At 37.1% G+C, this 17,655-nt stretch overlaps 1 protein-coding gene across 10 annotated transcripts in view, besides 4 other annotated features; it reads right to left on the bottom strand.

Moving 5' to 3' along the window:
• The window catches only part of SDCBP (syndecan binding protein), a 29,598-nt gene extending 13,269 nt beyond the window's left edge, over window positions 1–16,329 (bottom strand). For 3 of the 10 annotated variants that reach the window (NM_005625.4, NM_001007069.2, NM_001348339.2), the window contains exons 1-2: window positions 16,287–16,329; window positions 4,506–4,571 (exon numbers count right to left, since the gene is read on the bottom strand). In NM_005625.4, the coding sequence (NP_005616.2) occupies window positions 4,506–4,556 (51 nt within the window). In that variant the 5' untranslated portion in view covers window positions 4,557–4,571; window positions 16,287–16,329. Of the gene's footprint in view, window positions 1–4,505; window positions 4,572–7,794; window positions 9,307–16,286 lie in introns of those variants that run through there. The other 7 variants (NM_001348341.2, NM_001330537.2, NM_001007067.2 and 4 more) reach the window with 5 other exon arrangements.
• Window positions 15,947–16,476: a silencer, noted in NCBI's record as "silent region_19217". NCBI's record gives its function as "represses an Ori minimal core promoter by ATAC-STARR-seq in GM12878 lymphoblastoid cells {active_cell/tissue: GM12878}" and the evidence as "EXISTENCE:reporter gene assay evidence [ECO:0000049][PMID:35858748]".
• Window positions 15,947–16,756: a biological region, named in NCBI's record as "H3K27ac hESC enhancer GRCh37_chr8:59465479-59466196".
• Window positions 15,953–16,670: an enhancer, noted in NCBI's record as "H3K27ac hESC enhancer chr8:59465479-59466196 (GRCh37/hg19 assembly coordinates)". NCBI's record gives its function as "activates a minimal SCP1, AML or CMV promoter by ChIP-STARR-seq in primed H9 embryonic stem cells {active_cell/tissue: H9 hESC(primed)}" and the evidence as "EXISTENCE:reporter gene assay evidence [ECO:0000049][PMID:30033119]".
• Window positions 16,577–16,756: an enhancer, noted in NCBI's record as "active region_27411". NCBI's record gives its function as "activates an Ori minimal core promoter by ATAC-STARR-seq in GM12878 lymphoblastoid cells {active_cell/tissue: GM12878}" and the evidence as "EXISTENCE:reporter gene assay evidence [ECO:0000049][PMID:35858748]".

Here is a 17,655-nt window from a genome sequence, read left to right as displayed (position 1 = left end):
AAGAAGCCAATCTCAAAAGGCTACATACTTTATGATTCCAACTATACGACATTTTGAAAAATGCAAAATTGTGGAGATAATAAAATATTAGGCCAGGCACAGTGGCTGAGGCCTTTAATCCCAGCACTTTGGGAAGCTGAAGCTGGAGAGTTGCTTGAGGCCTGGAGTTCAAGACCAGCCTGGGCAACATAGGAAAACCCTGCCTATGCAAAAAATTGTTTTGGCCAGGCACAGTGGCTCATGCCTGTAATCCCAGCACTTTGGTAGGCTGAGGTGGGCAGATCACCTGAAGTCAGGAGTTCAACTGACCAACATGGCATGTTGTCATGTTTGTCATGGCCAACATGGCAAAACCCTGTCTCTAGTAAACATACAAAAATTAGCCGGGCATGGTGGTGGATGCCTGTTAATTCCAGCTACCCGGGAGGCTGAGGCAGGGAGAATTGCTTGAACCCAGGAGGAGGAGGTTGCAGTGAGCCAAGATCGCACCACTGCACTCCAGCCTGGTGACAGAGCCAGACTCCGTTTTGGGGGAAAAAAAAATTTTCTTTTTAAACTAGCTAGGTGTGGTGGTGCATGCCTGTAGTCCCAGCTACTTAGAAGGCTGTGGCAGGAGGATGGACGCTGCAGTGAACCATGACTGTGCCACTGTACTCCAGCCTGGGCAACAGAGCGACATCCTGACGCTAAAGAAAACACAAAAGCAAAAGCAAATTATTGGTTGCCAGGAGTTTCTAGAAGGGAAGGAAGAACAGGCATTAAAGAATTTTTCGAGCAGTGAACCTATTCTGTCTAATGCTACAATGGTATACAGTCATGTGCTGCCTGTTCTGGTCAATGATGAACCACATATACAATAGTGGTCCCATGAGATTATAAAAGAGCTAAAAAATTCCTACTGTCTAGTGACATCATAGCTGCCGTCACACAGAACAACTCATTACTTTGTGGTGATGGTGGTGTAAATAAGCTTACTGCACTGCCAGTCATATATAAAAAAGTATAGCATCTACAATTATGCATGGTACATAATACTTGATAATAATAAATGACTATGTTACTCATTTATGTATTTCCTGTGTTATACCCTTTAGAGTATATCCTTCTACTTACAAAAAAAGTTAACTGTAAAACAGTCTCAGGCAGGTCCTTCAGGAGGTATTCCAGAAGGCACTATTACCATTGGAAATGACAACTCCATGCATGTTACTGCCTCTGAAGACCTTTCAGTGGGATGATGTGGAGGTGGAAGACAGTGATATTGATGATCCTGACCCTGTGCAGGCCTAGGCTAATGTGAGTGTGTGTCTCAGTTTTTAACAAACTTACAAGCGATTTTTAAAAACTAAAAATTTAAAAAATAGGAAAAAAGCTTATAGAATCAGGATATAAAGAAAGAAAATATTTTATACAGCTGTACAATGTTTGTGTTTTAAACTATGTTATTACAAGAGTCAGAAAGTTAAAAAATTAAAGTTACAGGAAGCTAAGGTTAATTTATAATTCGAGAAAGAAAAATTTTTAAATAAATTTAGTGCAGCCCAAGTATAGAGTATTGATAAAGTCTACAGCAGTATACAATAATGTCCTAGGCCTCACATTCACTCACCGCTCACTCACTGACTTACCCAGCGCAACTTCTAGTCCTGGAAGCTCCATTCATGGTAAGTGCCTTATACAGATGTACCATTTTAAATCTTTTACATTGTATTTTTACCATACCTTTTCTGTGTTTAGATACACAAATACTATTGTGTAACAATTGCCTACAGTATTCAGTACAGTAACATGCAGTATTACTGTATCATACAGGTGGGATCATACAGGTTTGTAGCATAGGAACAACAGACTATACCATACTGCCTAGATGTGTAGTAGGCTATGCCATCTACATTTGTGGAAGTACACTCTATAATGTTTGCACGACAAAACTGTCTAATGAGGCATTTCTCAGAACATATCCGTCTTTAAGCAACACATGACTATATACACGTCACTATACATTTGTCAAAATCCACAGAACATATAACACCAACAGTGAACCCTAATGTGATGTAATGTAAATATGTAGACTTCAGGTGATATTAATGAGCCAGATGTACTGCTCTGGTGCAGATGCTGATACTGGGGGAGGTTGTGCATGTGTGAGGACAGAAGGTATACTGTACTTTCTGATCAATTTTGTTGTGAATCTAAAATTGCTCTAAAACACAGCTTATTAATTTAAAATACTTCTCCTTTGTATGTAGTTATGAATTTCTGTTCTTTCATTGCTATTGTTTTTAATCCAAGGAATACTGAAGAATACATATAGAAAGCTCCCTGCAAAGTTAAATTTAATTATGTTATTTGCAGTAAAAATGAAACAAAAGGATGTAACCCAATTTTAAGTACTGTAAACCATTAAATGTAGCTACTTATTTCAAACTTACTTTGAAATGTGACACTACTAAAAAAAGGGGTTGGGGTGCCCCAAGGAGCATGCCAGGGCCTATTGTTTCTGCCATTAACAGAAAGGATGTGGAAAAAACATGCTTGTAGCGTCACTGCTGCCAAATTCTGCCCACCATATTAGGAAACTGATAAGCTCTGGTTCTGTATATCATTATTTATTAAAAGCTTACTTTGCATAAGTAGAGGAAACCACAGGCTCTTGTCAGGATTTGGAATGGAGAGAAAAAGGTCTAGGGACTGTATGATGCTAAAAGCCACAGCCTAGTGGCTACTGCAGAATAGTTTACAAAATATGAATGGTTGGTTCATTGCTGTAATTTAGCTTTGCTGTGGTGTTAAAGGCCAGCAGATGAGAAAATGAATACTACCTTCCTTCATAATACCGTTTCAGGAGAATCTTAAGAATAAAAACAAACATGAGTATCATCCACCTTAGAAAATGATGCAAAAAAACAAAACAAAACAAAACAAAAACAGCCAAAGAGTTTAATGGCTAAATTAGGAATATTTTTAAATTCAGGGGTAATAAAAGAACCATGTTTCCCACTCCTTATTCACTGTTCTATCTCCCAGCTGCTTTCTGCTCTGAACATAAAACGTTCTTTAATGTAAATATCTATGTAATTCACTTCTGCTTAAAGAGGGCAGCATGATACAGATTGTAGCCCTCTTTATTTTTCATTCCAATATTTGTCAATATCAACTCTTCTGCTGCTGCTGTTTTCAAAACCAAAAGCCTCAGCTCATATCTGACTATGGTGAATTTACATTCAATTCCATAAAAAGCTAACAAAAAAAGGATGAAAACAAAGAACAGATTAGTCATTCTTACAGGTCCATCTAAAAATCCTTATCAGTTAATGTATTGATGTCATATTAATGGCTAAGCAGTTATTCTGGAAAGCTAAATATTTCAGATAAAGGCCTTTTAAAAAGAAAAGTGCTTGTTTAGATGAACTATGTGGAAATAAAAACCACATGAAGAAAATACTGACAAAATACTAAAGAAGTGATAGGAACATGTAAAAGATGACTGAATAGGCCACTTGAAACTTTGAGGCATCAAAGCCTTGGCAGCTGAACTGTAGATTTTAGAGATTTTACAAACCTCATTTTAATATCCATACTGGATCTATGATAGAAAATAATTGTTCATAATTCAATTATCAGTAAGTAAATTGAATATCTCACTTTCTAGTAAATTGAAGACAGGGACCCAATAAAATGATCTTCAGGGTAAGGAGTTTTCGTTTATCTTGTCAAATTAAAACAATAAACAACGGCTGAAGAAATTCTAAATTGATAAGAGATCAAGTTGAAAGCTAACCGTAAACAAATTCATCATATACTACAAATTACCCCCAATTAAAATAATTACCAAAAATTTCCCAATTAGCCAGAATTGGTCCCAATTCCTCACTTTGTTCTTAAGCAGAAGCATTTGTCTTCAAAGCTAATACTTATACAAAGGAGTATAAAAATTTTCAACTCAATGCAATTAGAAATACTGCAATCTCTACACAGTCATTTAGAGAATGAACAAGTGAAATGTCTGCTGCTCATCTCTCAAAGGAAAGAAATCACTACACTTTCCCTGTGCTCTTACATGACTGCTCTTCTAAAAGCAGCATGTACGCCACTATTTCTGTAATTTTAACTTCAGTTAAGAGACATAGAATTAAAGAGTGGTCATACCTAAAGATCCAAAAGAAAAATATACCAATTTTATACAAAACTATGAATATCTACAAAATTGGAGTATATTTTGTCAACTCAAATATGTTACATATAATTAAATTTTAACCAGAAATGTAAAAAGTGTAAGTCGAATTAAAAAAATCTCATGCCTATTAATTCACAGTGAAATGAAAAAAAAAATTGCTAATTTTTCTGTAAACTTTTCAGTCTGCAATTAATAAAACTAAAAAAAGGTTTATGAAGTGTAAAAATGAACAAATATATCTGCTATTTAGCTATCTTGCTTTATTTCACCTATAAGTAGAATGCATGTTACTGTGTTTGTTTTGACAAAAGTATTTAAACTATCATACCTGAATTACTTTGTCTACCTTCAAGTCTTCGAGAGATGGATAGAGAGACATTTTTGCAGGATTCTTCTAAAGAAAAAAAGAAAGTTTTATTACTCTAATGTCATAGAAATTGAAATAGTATACACAGCTAACCACAGACACATAAACAAGTAGAACTATTTAACTCAATAAAAAACATTTAAATTGCAAAACATATTAAAAAATAAGAATATATAGGCCATACTAAAAGTTAGCTGATACTTAAGAATTACCAAACTACCTCTCCTTCCCCTAATAGTATTATTGAACTATATCCATCACCGATTTTTAAAATTCAAGTAAAAGTCCCTTCATTTTACAAATTTAGAAAATCAAATAGAATAGTTATGTGACTTACTCCTAACTTACACAAGTACTTGCAACTTAGCCAGGACTAGGAAACTACCCTTAGTACAATGCCCTTGGGCATTACACAGCTACATTTCCTTCTAACAATAAAAGCCTAAAAGCAGATCATATGCAGTATCAATACATGAACCTCTATTACTAAGAAAAATATATACACACATATATGTATACAGAAGAAACTATATCAACTGCTAACAGATTTTTCTTCAGAAGACAGATGGTAAAGGAGTGAGGAATAAGAGGGAAATTTTTACTTTTCATTTAAAATACTTCTGTATTAAGTAGAAGTATGTTTTTTAGTTATAAATTGCTTTTTGTAATAATTTAAAACACAATTCTCTAAATGTATTATATGAATGCATATTTTAAATTTTATTTAGCTGTTTTGAGATGAATACCTGATACTTTCACTCAACCCAATAAAACAGAATATATGCTAAACTGGTATGTGGTTTAACGTAAGATTCTTGATTCAGGTATCAATTTATTACCTCCCATTTCCAAATCCACTTCTTATTGCTTTCTCTCCCAAAATGGAGCTGAGCTCTTTCAACATTGCTCTGTTACCAGCTGGCATGATGTTAAGCCTTGTCAGTAGAGGCAACTGGAGGTACACTGTAGGAGGAAGAGCTTTTCTCTTCATGGTTCCAACGTACTACTCTAGCCAGACTCCTGCCAGGAGTAGTTTCACAAGCATGCAGAAGCTCACCCCAGCACTCTATTGAGTAACTCTGCAGCAGAATGCCACCACCAAGGAATCTCCCTGAGCAGCTTTCTCAACCCCTTCACGTGGCTTCTGCAGCAAATTCCAAGGTTCAGAATGCCAGAGGGAGAATAAGTTCCAGAAGCATGGTATCCGGCAACTTCAGCATCTGCCAGTGACATCTGTCCCCTCTTCAACCAGACCTGAATCTCAGCCCCAGTATGGGAACAGCCCTAGAGTTAGTGGCTACTTATTAAGTCTGCTCTTACAGTATTCTTAAAAGTTGTCTTTACTTCTTACAAGTCAATTTCTATTTCTTCAATCATGTTATAACTAGTAATTCTGTGTATTAAACCTCCACTGTTAAAATCACTATATGGTCTCTGTCTCCTAGTTGGACAGTATGAGATAGTTTTTTTTTTAAATTTAATTCACACACTCTAAAATTCAGCCTTTCAAAGTATATAATGCAATGGTTTTTAGTATATTCACAGACTTCTACAATCATCTCCACTACCTATCTTTGAATATTTCCATCCTCCCCAAAAGAAAACTCATGCCTCCCCATTCTACCCTCCTTCCAGCTCCAGGCAACATACACTTTCCCGCCTCTGTTTTTACCTGCTCTGGATACTTAATCTAGAATCTTAGAATATGTGGCCTTCTGCATCTGGCTTCTTTCACATAGCATATGTTCAAGGTTCATCTGTGTTGGAGCATGTATCAGTATTTCATTCATTTTCATAGCAGAATAATATTCCATTGTATGTATACCACATTATATTTATGCTGTCATCAGCTGATGACATTTGGGTTATTTGCACTTTTGGCTATTATAAATAATGCTGTTAAAAATGCCAATGAGCATTTGCATTGTTAGCAAATAATATGTAAGTTTATATACTTTTTTAATAAATGCATCTTTAATTCTCTTGGAATATAGCTAAGCATGCAACTGCTGGGTCATATGGTAACTCTAATACCATCCCCTTGATGATTACAGGATTCAACATATGAATGGAGGGACACAGTCACAAACATTCAGACCATATCATAGACCACTATCATATATGATTTACAAATACTTTTCTTATTCTGTAGATTGTCTTTTCATTTTTTCTCACAGTGCATTTTGCAATATGAGGTTTTTAATTCTGACAAATTTGAATCTATATTTCTTCTTGGTTGCTTATGCTTTAGATATAACATCTAAGAAACTACTGCCCAACTCAAGGTTATGAAGACTTACCCTTATGTTTTCTTCAAAAAATGTTATGTCTTTAATTCCTGCATTTATATCTTTGATCTATTTTATGTTAATTTTGTACACGGTGTGTGGTATAGATCCATATTCATTATTATCCATGTGGAAACCCAGTTATTTCAGCACCATTTTTTGAAAATAACATTTTTGAATTGTCTTCGCATCGTTATTGAAAAGTGATCATAACTGTATGCACTTATTTCTGCAATCTCAATTCTATTTCACTGATCTATATGTCTATCCTTATACCAGTACCACACATTCTTGAGTACTGTACATTTGTATTAAGTTTTAAAATCAGTTAATGTGAATCCTCCCACTTTGTTCTTTTTCGAAATTGTTTTGGCTATTCTAAATCCCTATCAATTCAGTATCAGTTTTAGAATCAGTATATCCATTTCTGTAAAAAAATAAAAAGTATCCTTAAATCTGAAGTGAGTCTCTTATAAACTGGGTATAGCTGGCTCTTGGTTTTATTTTTTTAATCCATTCATCCCCTCTATGTCTTTTGATTGGAGAGTTTAGTACATTTAAAGTTATTACTGATAGGGAAGGACTTACAATGACATTTTGTTAATGATTTTCTATCTTGAAACTTTTTTGTCCTTCCTTTCCTCTCTTGCCATCATGCTTTTTGTTTCACTGTTTTTTTTTTTAATAGATATGCTTTGATTCCTTATTTGTGTGTGTGTATTTTCTATAGGTATTTTCTTTGTGGTTACCATGGAGTTTACATAAAACATCTTCTAATAAACCTATTTTAAGCTGATAATTTCAACTGCATACAATACTGCTTCTTCTCATCCATCCCCATACTGCATTACTGATGCTACAAATTTCATCTTTTATGTTGTGCATCTATTAATATTTTTATAGTTACAGGCACTTAAACTTTTGTCTTAGACTTATATATCAGAAATAAGTGATTTACTCACCACCATTACAATAATATGCAGGTCTCTATTTGTCCATAGCTTTATCATTTAATTTTATACTTTCATGTTGAACATACTTTTGTTTCCATTTAACAGACTCCCATTGGCGTTTAAGTCAGATATAGTGGTGATGAACTCTCTCAGATTTTGAGAATCTTATTTCTCTTTTACTTTTAAAGAAAAGTTTTGCCACATACAGTACTTTGCTGGCAGTTTTTCTTCCAGCAGTTTGACTATATCATCCCACTTCTTTCTGACCTGCAAGGTTTCTGCTAAGAAATCCACTTAGAGTCCCACAGAATCTCCTTTGTATATGACAAGTTGTTCTTATCCTGCTGCTTTCAAAATTCTTTGACAATTTGATTACAGTGTGTTTCCATGTAGATGTCTTCGGATTGTTCTACTCTGGAGTCCATTTGGCTTCTTGAATCTGGATGTCCACTGCCTTCCTTCAGTTTGGGAAGTTTTGGCCAGTATTTCTTCAAATAAGCTTTTTGCTCCTTTCTCTTTCCAACATATGGAACTTCCATACAATCTACATTGATAAAATTGATGCTGTCCCATTAGTACTCTAGGCTGTCTTCATTCTTTTTTTATTTTTTTTCTTTTTGCTTCTCTGACTGGATAATTTCAAATGACCTGGCTTCAAGTTCACTAATTCTTCTCCTTGAAAAACACTGCTGCTAAACTCCTCTAGTAAATCTTTCAATTTGGTCAAAGAAGCATATTGCATCTGTTACAATGTTTGTTTGGTTCCTTTTTACGTTTTCAATCTCTATGTTGATACCATTTTGTTCATGCAGCATTTTCCTTGGGTCACTGAACATGTTTATGGTGGTTAGTCTGAATTCCTTCTGAGATAATGAAGATATCTGTGTTTCCTTAAAGTAGGTTCCTGGATATTTTGACTCTTTGATTGTGCCATGTTTCCCTATTTCTTTGTGTGTCTTTTAACATCATGTTGGGATCCAAGCATTTGAAAAAATATCACCCCTCCCAGTCTTTGTGGTCTGGCTCTGTACAGAGAAAGATCCTCACTGATCGGCCTGACTAGAGATTCTGCATGCCTTTTGAACCTTTCCTGAGGATGCTTCTTCTCGACCAGTGTGTATAAATTCTCAAGATGAACTTGTTCGTTTCCTTTTTCAGGATCTCATAATCTTTTGCTCCCTGTGCTATCTGTCTGTGGTACTTCAGGTTCTCTGGAGCTGCTGCAAGCCACCCAGCTCTCTTGTTTTCAGAGGCCTCCAACCTGGTGCCCTTTCCCATCAGTGGGCTTTTAGAGTATGTCCACTCCTGCCTGTGCTCCAAGTCAGGTGAAACAGAAGCCAGTCCCTTGGGGGTAGCTCTCTGAAGTGCTGGAATGTTGGACACATACTCCACTATTCTCTCTCCAACACCTTTCATGCCACACGTAGGGACAAGCTGCTGAGCTGTATCATCCTCTGTCTGCCCTACCATAGGTCCTCTAGAGCAGCAACAAGTCTTCTGTTCTCAGTGGCTCCTGGGCACCTGGAATACACCAGCCCCTGTCAGCTTTCCAAGACAAGCAAGACAGAAGCCAGTCCCTCAGCCCACTGAAAAGGTGAAACACTGGACACACATTCCAACTCTTTTGTCTCCCCAAGGAGAAGCCAAGAGTTGAGGATTTTCTCCTGCTGGTTTCATGCTGAGGGAGGGGGAGGGACCATGGTGAGTGCCTGCTAATCTAAACTGTCAACTTTGTTTTCAATGACCCCGCAACCTGGTGCCCTTTCCTGTCAGAACTTATATTCAAGCAAAATAAAAACCAGACCCTTGGGCAGACCTCTGAAAAATCTGAATGTCACACAGATGTTTCAGTCTTCTCTTTCCCCGCCCAGGGAAAAACCAGGAGCCTGGAGTTTCCTCTTGCTCATGCCATGCTGAGCCAGGGGAATGAACTATGGTGAGCAAGTAGGATGAATTTTCCTACCATCTTCACTGCAGCTGGTTTACTGCTCACCTAGAATGCAGGAGCCTCTTAACTAGTTTCCGGATTTCTCACAAAGAGGTCTGGTGTGTGTATTGTTATTGAATCAGTATTTCTGTGGGGAGAAGAAGCATATGAGCTTTCTATTGCACCTTCTTGCTGCTATTACACATCTTTTGTTTCTTTTCTAATTTCTCTGGCTATAATCTCCAGTACAATGGTGAATAGTAGTGGCCTGGTACAGTCCTTAAGGGAAAAACAGAATCTGGGTTTGTGAGAAAAAAAAAAAAATTCACATTCTTGAGAGAGCACTATCAAATATGATTTAATTGTATTAATCCAGGAGAACAAAGTGAATTATCTTCTTTGGGTTCAAAGGATCAATTTCCTAGCAGCCTTTCCCTAAACACAATTTTTTGCCTTATTTAAACTTTCAGCCATTCTATCAATATAAACAAAATGCATATGATATATAATATACAAAATGCAAAGCAAGTTGCAATATCAACAACCAAAATGCACTGAAAAGAATGTTACCTGGCCATCTAATATTATTTCTATTTTTGATTTCTTTTTTTGATTCTGTCATTGGCTAACTTCAAAATCCCACTGTTCTCATGAAAAATGAAGTGGTTTCCTAACTTTTCTCTCCATAGAAGTTTCTCTTCAAATAAATATTAACTGAAGTTGTCTGAACAACTCTTGAGTTAATTCACACACCAGCAACTCAAGCCTAGAAGAAAAATGGACTTTCAAAATTTTTTTTAAATAACAAATATTACCGTAATTTACACTTCTGAAAAAGTAAGTTTCAGGTTTGCTTTAAGTGTACTGATCTTAATTAACTCTCACTGTTTTTTAAATCACAAAGCATTCCTCAATTTTACTTTCTTGACCCATTTCATTAAATTTCTTTCCACGTATTAAAATGTTGTAGCTGCAAACCACTGACTATTTGCCACCCAGGTCACATGCTTCCATGCCTGCATATTTTTGTAAAAGGTGCATTCTCTTCCAGGAATGTCCTTCCAGGACTTCTCCACCAATCAAAATCCTAGTTAGCCTTGAGGCATAGGTCAAGTGTCACTTCTTAAAAGAGGGTGACTTTGAAGGCTTCAGTTGGATATTATTTGCTCCTCCCAACTCCTCTCAACTCTGCCTCAGATTATAGCTAGTACATGTTTATCTCCACTACTTGAAGGCAGGACTCAATTTAGTTTATTTACACAGCATAAACACTTTTTCCTCATCCTCAAAGATATCAAATGTAGCTGGGCGCAGTGCCTGTAATCCCAACAGTTTGGGAGAAAAAGGTAGGTGGATCACTTGAGCCCAGGAGTTTGCGACCAGCTTGGGCAACATGGAGAAACCCCATCTCTACAAAAAATATAAAAAACTAGCCAGGGACAGCAGCACATGCCTGTAGTCCTAGCTACTTGGGAGGCTGAGGTAGGAGGACCACTTGAGCAAAGGAGGTTGAGGCTGCAGTGAGCTGTGGTCACACCACCACATTCTAACCTGGGTGGACAGACTGAGACCCTGTCTCACCAATAAAAAAAACTTTTTAAAAAGAAGATACCAAATGTTAGTATTTTGACAAATGTCATCAAAACAACAGTAAATAAGATATCTTTAAACACTTATTGAAAAGATCAAAATATTCTTAGGGCAAGTCCGTACTTTTGAACCTAACAGTGTAAAAAGCCTTCCAGGAAAATGATAAATGCTTTATTTTTCTGAAGGGCTCCATTAAGTCACTTGTACATTATATTTAAATCTTTGACCTAATGGGAACTGTTAGAAACACAGCCCTTTTTCAAGAACCACAAAGCTAACTCTGGGAAATCCTTCTAATTGTGGCTGGAATTTTATAATGACCAATAATGAGGTTTAAGAGGATTCTGAAAGTAACTATTACATCAGTGGAAGAATCTCATTTTACCTCACTTGCAACTCTTATCAAACATTATTATTGTACGAACTAAACTAAAGAATTTTGTTTCTAGGCTTTCCTTCGAGCTGAGTAATCACTAAGAAGATAAAACTCCCACTACTCTTTAAGGGTTTGATCAAACCTTCCTGACCACTACAGCTTTTTTCCACTGGCCTAATTCCTTGGAAAGAAATGGTACTGCCCACATACCCTTTGACCAGGTTTGGCCCACACTACATTATTTGCAATCTCTGTGACTCACTTCATGCATTATGAAAGGCCCCTACACCCAATGTATCTCAGGCCTCAGAAGTAACTCACAAATAGTTTCTATTAAGAGATCTTTCAGTGGGTGGGATAGTTTCGGACTTTTTCAGAACACCAAAAGGCTATATATATATTATATATGTGTGTGTGTGCATATGTATTATATATAACATATATAATATGTATTATATAATATGTATTATATGTATTATATATAATATATATTATATTACATTATATTATTATATTTTAAATATAAATATTTTTATATTTATATATTTTTATATATCTATATATTTTATATATTTATATTTATATATTTTATATTTATATATAATTAAATATAAATATCTAAATATAAATATTTTAAATATAAATATTTAAATATAAATATTGATTAAAATTAATATCATTTTCCTGGAATATATAAATAATATAATATTAATATATAATAATACTATATTATATTATAATATACATTATAATTATATATTATAATATTGTATATAATATATACTATATTGTATATAATAGTATAATATATAATATATGGTATAAATTATACTATACTATACTATATAATATAGTATATAATAAGTATATCTTATATACTTATAATATAGTATATAAGATATAGTATAATAGTATGATATACAATATATATTATGTTATATATAATATATAAATCATTATATATTATTCATAAATAATATATATTATATATAATTAGAATATATTATAATACGTATTATACGTATTATAATATATATGTATTATATATGTTATATATAATACATACATTTTATATATATATGTATTTATATATTGTCTGCCTCAGTACCAAGTTTCCCATTTGTCCCTCAACCCCCTCAGGGCAATATAAGAGTAACCTCCTTGAAGTCTTTAAATATGTGTACAGAACGAAGGCCCTCAACTTAAATACTTATGTGATATTTTGGAATTCTAGTTTATTCGCTCTCTGGACACAATATTCTGATTAATGAAGTAGGAAACACTGGCAAAGTTTTCCAAATAATATCACCTAGAATGGCAATACTCATCATTTTCTGAGTTATTAACCTCACCCCTTCTCAAACCACCAACTACAACTGGCCTCCCTTAAAAATGACATGTGACTGTTTAAGGTGAAATAATGTTTATTTGCTTCTTTTAATCTAAGCTATTAAAACAGGAGTTCCCAACCCCCGGGCCATGGACCAGTACCAGTCGGTGGCCCATTGGGAACCAGGCCACCCACAGCAGGTGAGTGGCAGGTGAGCCAGCATTACCACCTGAGCTCCAGCTCCTGTCAGATCAGTGGCAGCATTAGATTCTCACAGGAGCAGGAACCCTATTGTGAATTGTGCATGCAAGGGATCTAGGTTAAACGCTCCTCGTGATATAGTTTCATCCTGAAGCCATCCACCTATCCCGTCCGTGGAAAAACTGTCTTCCATGAAACCAGTCCCTGGTGCCAAAAATGTCGGGAACCGCTGTATTAAAAACATCTTGGGATAATAAAAATTTAGGACGGCAGAATCATTGATTTTTTTAAAAAATTATATGACAGTTGATAAGCAATTAGTTGAATTCGAAGATGTTGCCTATTTCAACTACTGATATCTTCAAAACCAGGAAAATTTGGAGTGATAATTTGTTGAAGCAGTTATTAAAATTTCTAGTAAAGTTGTGTTTCATTATGTCTTTAATTTCACTTCTGCAAACTATTCATAAAATGAATGAAAAATGTAAAAAATAAAATTATCAGGCCAGGAACCGTATGGCTCATGCCTGTAATCCTAGCACTTTCAGAGGCTGAGACAGGAGGACTGCTTCAGCCCAGGAGTTCAAGACCAGCCTGAGCAAGATTCCATCTCTAAAAAAAAAAAAAACTAAAAAATGAAAAAATAAAGTGTCCATTGGACCCAGATAGTAAGCATTCCAGATGGCTCATACATGAGGTCTAGAAACACAATTTAATATATCCTAAGCAGTCTTCCAGAGCAATGTTTCTCAATCTGGCTAATCATCAGAGCCAAATTACCCGAGGCTCTAGTTATTATAAAAACAGCTTCCTGGGCAGACACAGATTTCACGGAAGGACTTAGGAACTCTTCTTTTTAATAAGTATCCTGGGGGTTTCTGATGATCAGCCATTAAGAAGTATGTCCATATGAAGTCCACTGTAATAGAATAATTAATCCTTACCCATAGGATTCCATTTCTCACCTGGCAAAAATCCAAAGTTTGACATTCTCTGACAGCAAGCCTTTGAGAAACACTCACATACTACTAATGGGAGCGTAAACTAGTACAATTACCATACAGAGTGGGTTTGCAGTTATCTTACCGAAATTCTAAATTCAGATACCCTCCAACTCTGCAGTATCACTTCAGGTCTCAAAACCTGAAGTGTAAAAATATATGTGCACAAAGGAAGCAACATATGTAAAAGTTGATTCACTGCAGCACTGAGTGTAACAGCAAAAGACTTGAAAGCTATATATGCTGATATTAGAAAAGCTCCAAAATATGATCACTAACTGGAAAAATAAGAGCAAAATGTGAAGCAGTATATAAAATGTTAACGTTTGTGTTAAAAGCAAGGAGGCAAATACAGCTTATATGTTTGCCTGTGTAGATATAAAATTTGCCTAGAATACCTAAGAAATGTAAAAAAGTTGCCTGCCTGCCAGAAGACTTGTTACTTTATACCTTTTTATGCTGCTTAAATTTTGAGACAAGTGACTGTTTACCTACTCAAAAACAATACATTTACAAAACATGTTGGCAGCACTTGAAAAGAAATTAATAAATGCTAACGTAACTATTGCTAAAAGTAGAAAGTATTTCAAAGTTATTTGGGGGCGCTTTTCTTTTTTAGAATCTCTTGGCATTTAATACCTATAAAAAGTTCCCAAATCTGGCAAAAACAGGGAAAATAGTTGTCACGCTCATTTTAAGAAACTCTTTAATTAAACAGTACATTTAACCGGCAACCATTAGCAAATTCTTCCCCTTTTGTTCATCTTTTTCCCCTTTTTACATCTTTTCCTATAATGCCCAAAACTAAAAGTTAATGTCTCCAAAGTTAAATTTAATTTATAATGGAGTGACTATTTACTGACCATTTTAAAAGTCATTCTACTTCTTTTTATTCTGTGCCACAAACCACTAGATTTATAATATTTATGTACCATTTAAGGCACAAATTTTATAGAATTAAGTTGGTAACACAGAAGACAAAAGGACGTATTTTCTACCGTTATCCCTCAATCTTAAACAGGAAAATAAAAAGACTGAACAAATTTGAGTTTTAACTAATCACATACACATTTAGAAATCAATTTAATTTAAAAGGCCCGCAGTTGTTTTTCAAGGTAAATTTCCTGCTTTAATCAACGATTTCTTTTTGAAACAAGCGGATGTTAAGAGTTTGGTAAGCCGAGCGTACTTTCTAAGCAATGTACGTAATGGAAAAGATAACAGTAAATGTGTATGTGGTTATACAGACTAGATAATCTACAAACTCCTTTCAAAAATGGACACATTAGAAGACTCCATGACTCAATAATCACCACTTTGGTAAAAGTGAAAACTTTCCACATCCATATGCCTTCCCTTTCCCATTATTACAAGGAAATCCTGAAAGGAAGGCTCTGAGTCATCATATCTCAGGGGTCAGATCTCAGGGGTATTTCCTTCTAAACACACCCTACTGGAAACGTTTCTCCCTCAGGTCCAACTTCTCCAGGAAAAAGCTCAAAGCGAACAACCTCTCCCCACCCCCTTCCAAAAAAGTCAAGGCTTCGCCCAATAAACAAACACTTCCTTCCTCCTTTCAAATCCAGGACTTTCCGAATAACCCAAAAGAAGGGCGATTAAGCACAGCCCTAGAAACGCCGAGCACTGGGAGGAACCGTGGCCAGAGGCTCTTTCTTATGTCGAGATCTTATCGAGGAGAAAACAAGGATCGAGAGACGGTCCCAGGAAGAACCCCAGAGCTGGGGCGGGGGCTGAAGGCGTTCACCCAGCCGGGCCTCCGGGCTCTGCCAGCCCCAGCCCCAGCCCCAGCCCCAGCCCCAGCCCGGGCAGGAACCCGAAACGCGCGGGGTCGCGGCAGGAAGAGCGCGCTGCTCCCGCAAACTTGCCCCCCCAGCCAGCAGGGCGCAGGGAGGGGCGCGGAGCCCCCTGAGGAGAGGGCGTCGCCGCTGCCTCGCGAAAACGGCTGCGACCAGGATGCAGTCTGTGAAGTGGCCCAGGGACCGTCACACCTCTGCCCCAAGTCCCCGCGCCCGGGACCTGGCACCGGCGTCCCTCCTTGCCCCCTTGGCCTCTCACCTAGCCCACAAGGAACCGCTCGCCGCCGCCGCCTCCGGTCACTGGCACGGACTTCTGAGGCCCGAGTGTAAGAGAGCGGTGCGCGCCCGAGGACCGCCCCCGAGGCGCGTCATGGCACCGCCCCCGCCTTCAGCCCGCGCAGTCGCACGGCGCCGGGTCGGGTGATCCCGTCCCCAAGGTAACGGGGCGGTAGGGGTAAAGAGGCCTGGGTGTGGGTCGTTCCTGCAGCTCCAGGTATCCGGCAAAGTGGGGCGGTTCATGCCGCCCGCTGTCCGCTGCCCGCTGCCCAGCGGTTATGCTCCCAGTCTTCTCCGCTCTTCGGCTGTTCGTGCCCGCGGGCCCCGTGCCACCCACTCACTACTGTGTGCATCGCAGCTCACGGTCGCTTGGTTCTCGTCGCCTCCAATTCAAAGAGGTCTCGGGAGCCCCTGTTCCCTCTTGGGATGCCTTCGACTTCCACCACTTGCTGCCCTAGTCTCACTCTCCGCTTGCTGTACCTCTCCACTATAGGCTCAGAAACGTTCCTCTCACGACCCCTTCTCAACTCCTGCTTTATTTTTCTGTTGGAAATTTGGATGTTGGGGGTGGGGGGCGTATTACTCTGTCCGCCTAAGCTAATATTCCTTCGCTATTGAGAGTTAGGTGTGGTGCTGCGCAAAAGTAATTGCTTCCCAGTAAAAAAACATAACGATCATTTCTTGAGGGCTGATTTTGTGCCAGCCATAGCTCTACGAACTTAATGTATAGTCTTATTTGGTCTTCACATCAGTCTATAAAGACATCCCATTACAGACAAAGAAACTGAGGCACAGTTTACCCAAGAGTAATCATAGTTACCACGGAATACTGTAGAGTCCTTGACAAAATAGCATTTACAAGCAGTTTATTTCTAGCTAAATTAGTGCCAGAATAATTTAATATATGGCAAAACTAATAAAAATCTGAGTGTAAAAGAGGTGACAACTAAAGATGAAAACTTTGCTCTCAGTAAGGTTATAGTTAGGCTGATGAAATGGACATTTAAAAATAATTACAAGGTAGATTGGGAAGGAAGAAATAAAACTTTTTGCTTTCAGATGAGATGGTTATCTAACATAGAAAATCCGGAAAAAATTGACACTCCTCGCCTAAAAAAACAGAATGAAAAGCAATTATAGCAAGTTTGCATGAGCAAGTTTAAAACAGGCTCATTCTAAGCCAAAATGCTTGGGACCAGAAATGTTTCCAATTTTGGATTTTTTTTTTTTTTGCTTTTGTAATATTTGCATTATATACTTATGGGTTTACCATCCCTACTCCAAAACTCAAAATGTTCCAGTGAACATTTCCCTTGGTCCTCATGTCAGCACTCAAAAAGTTTCATATTTTA

Source organism: Homo sapiens, chromosome 8, assembly GCF_000001405.40.
Source record: "Homo sapiens chromosome 8, GRCh38.p14 Primary Assembly".
NCBI lineage: Eukaryota > Metazoa > Chordata > Mammalia > Primates > Hominidae > Homo > Homo sapiens.
The sequence above is the reverse complement of the archived record's forward strand: the minus strand, read 5'-3'. Positions and strand labels throughout refer to the sequence as shown.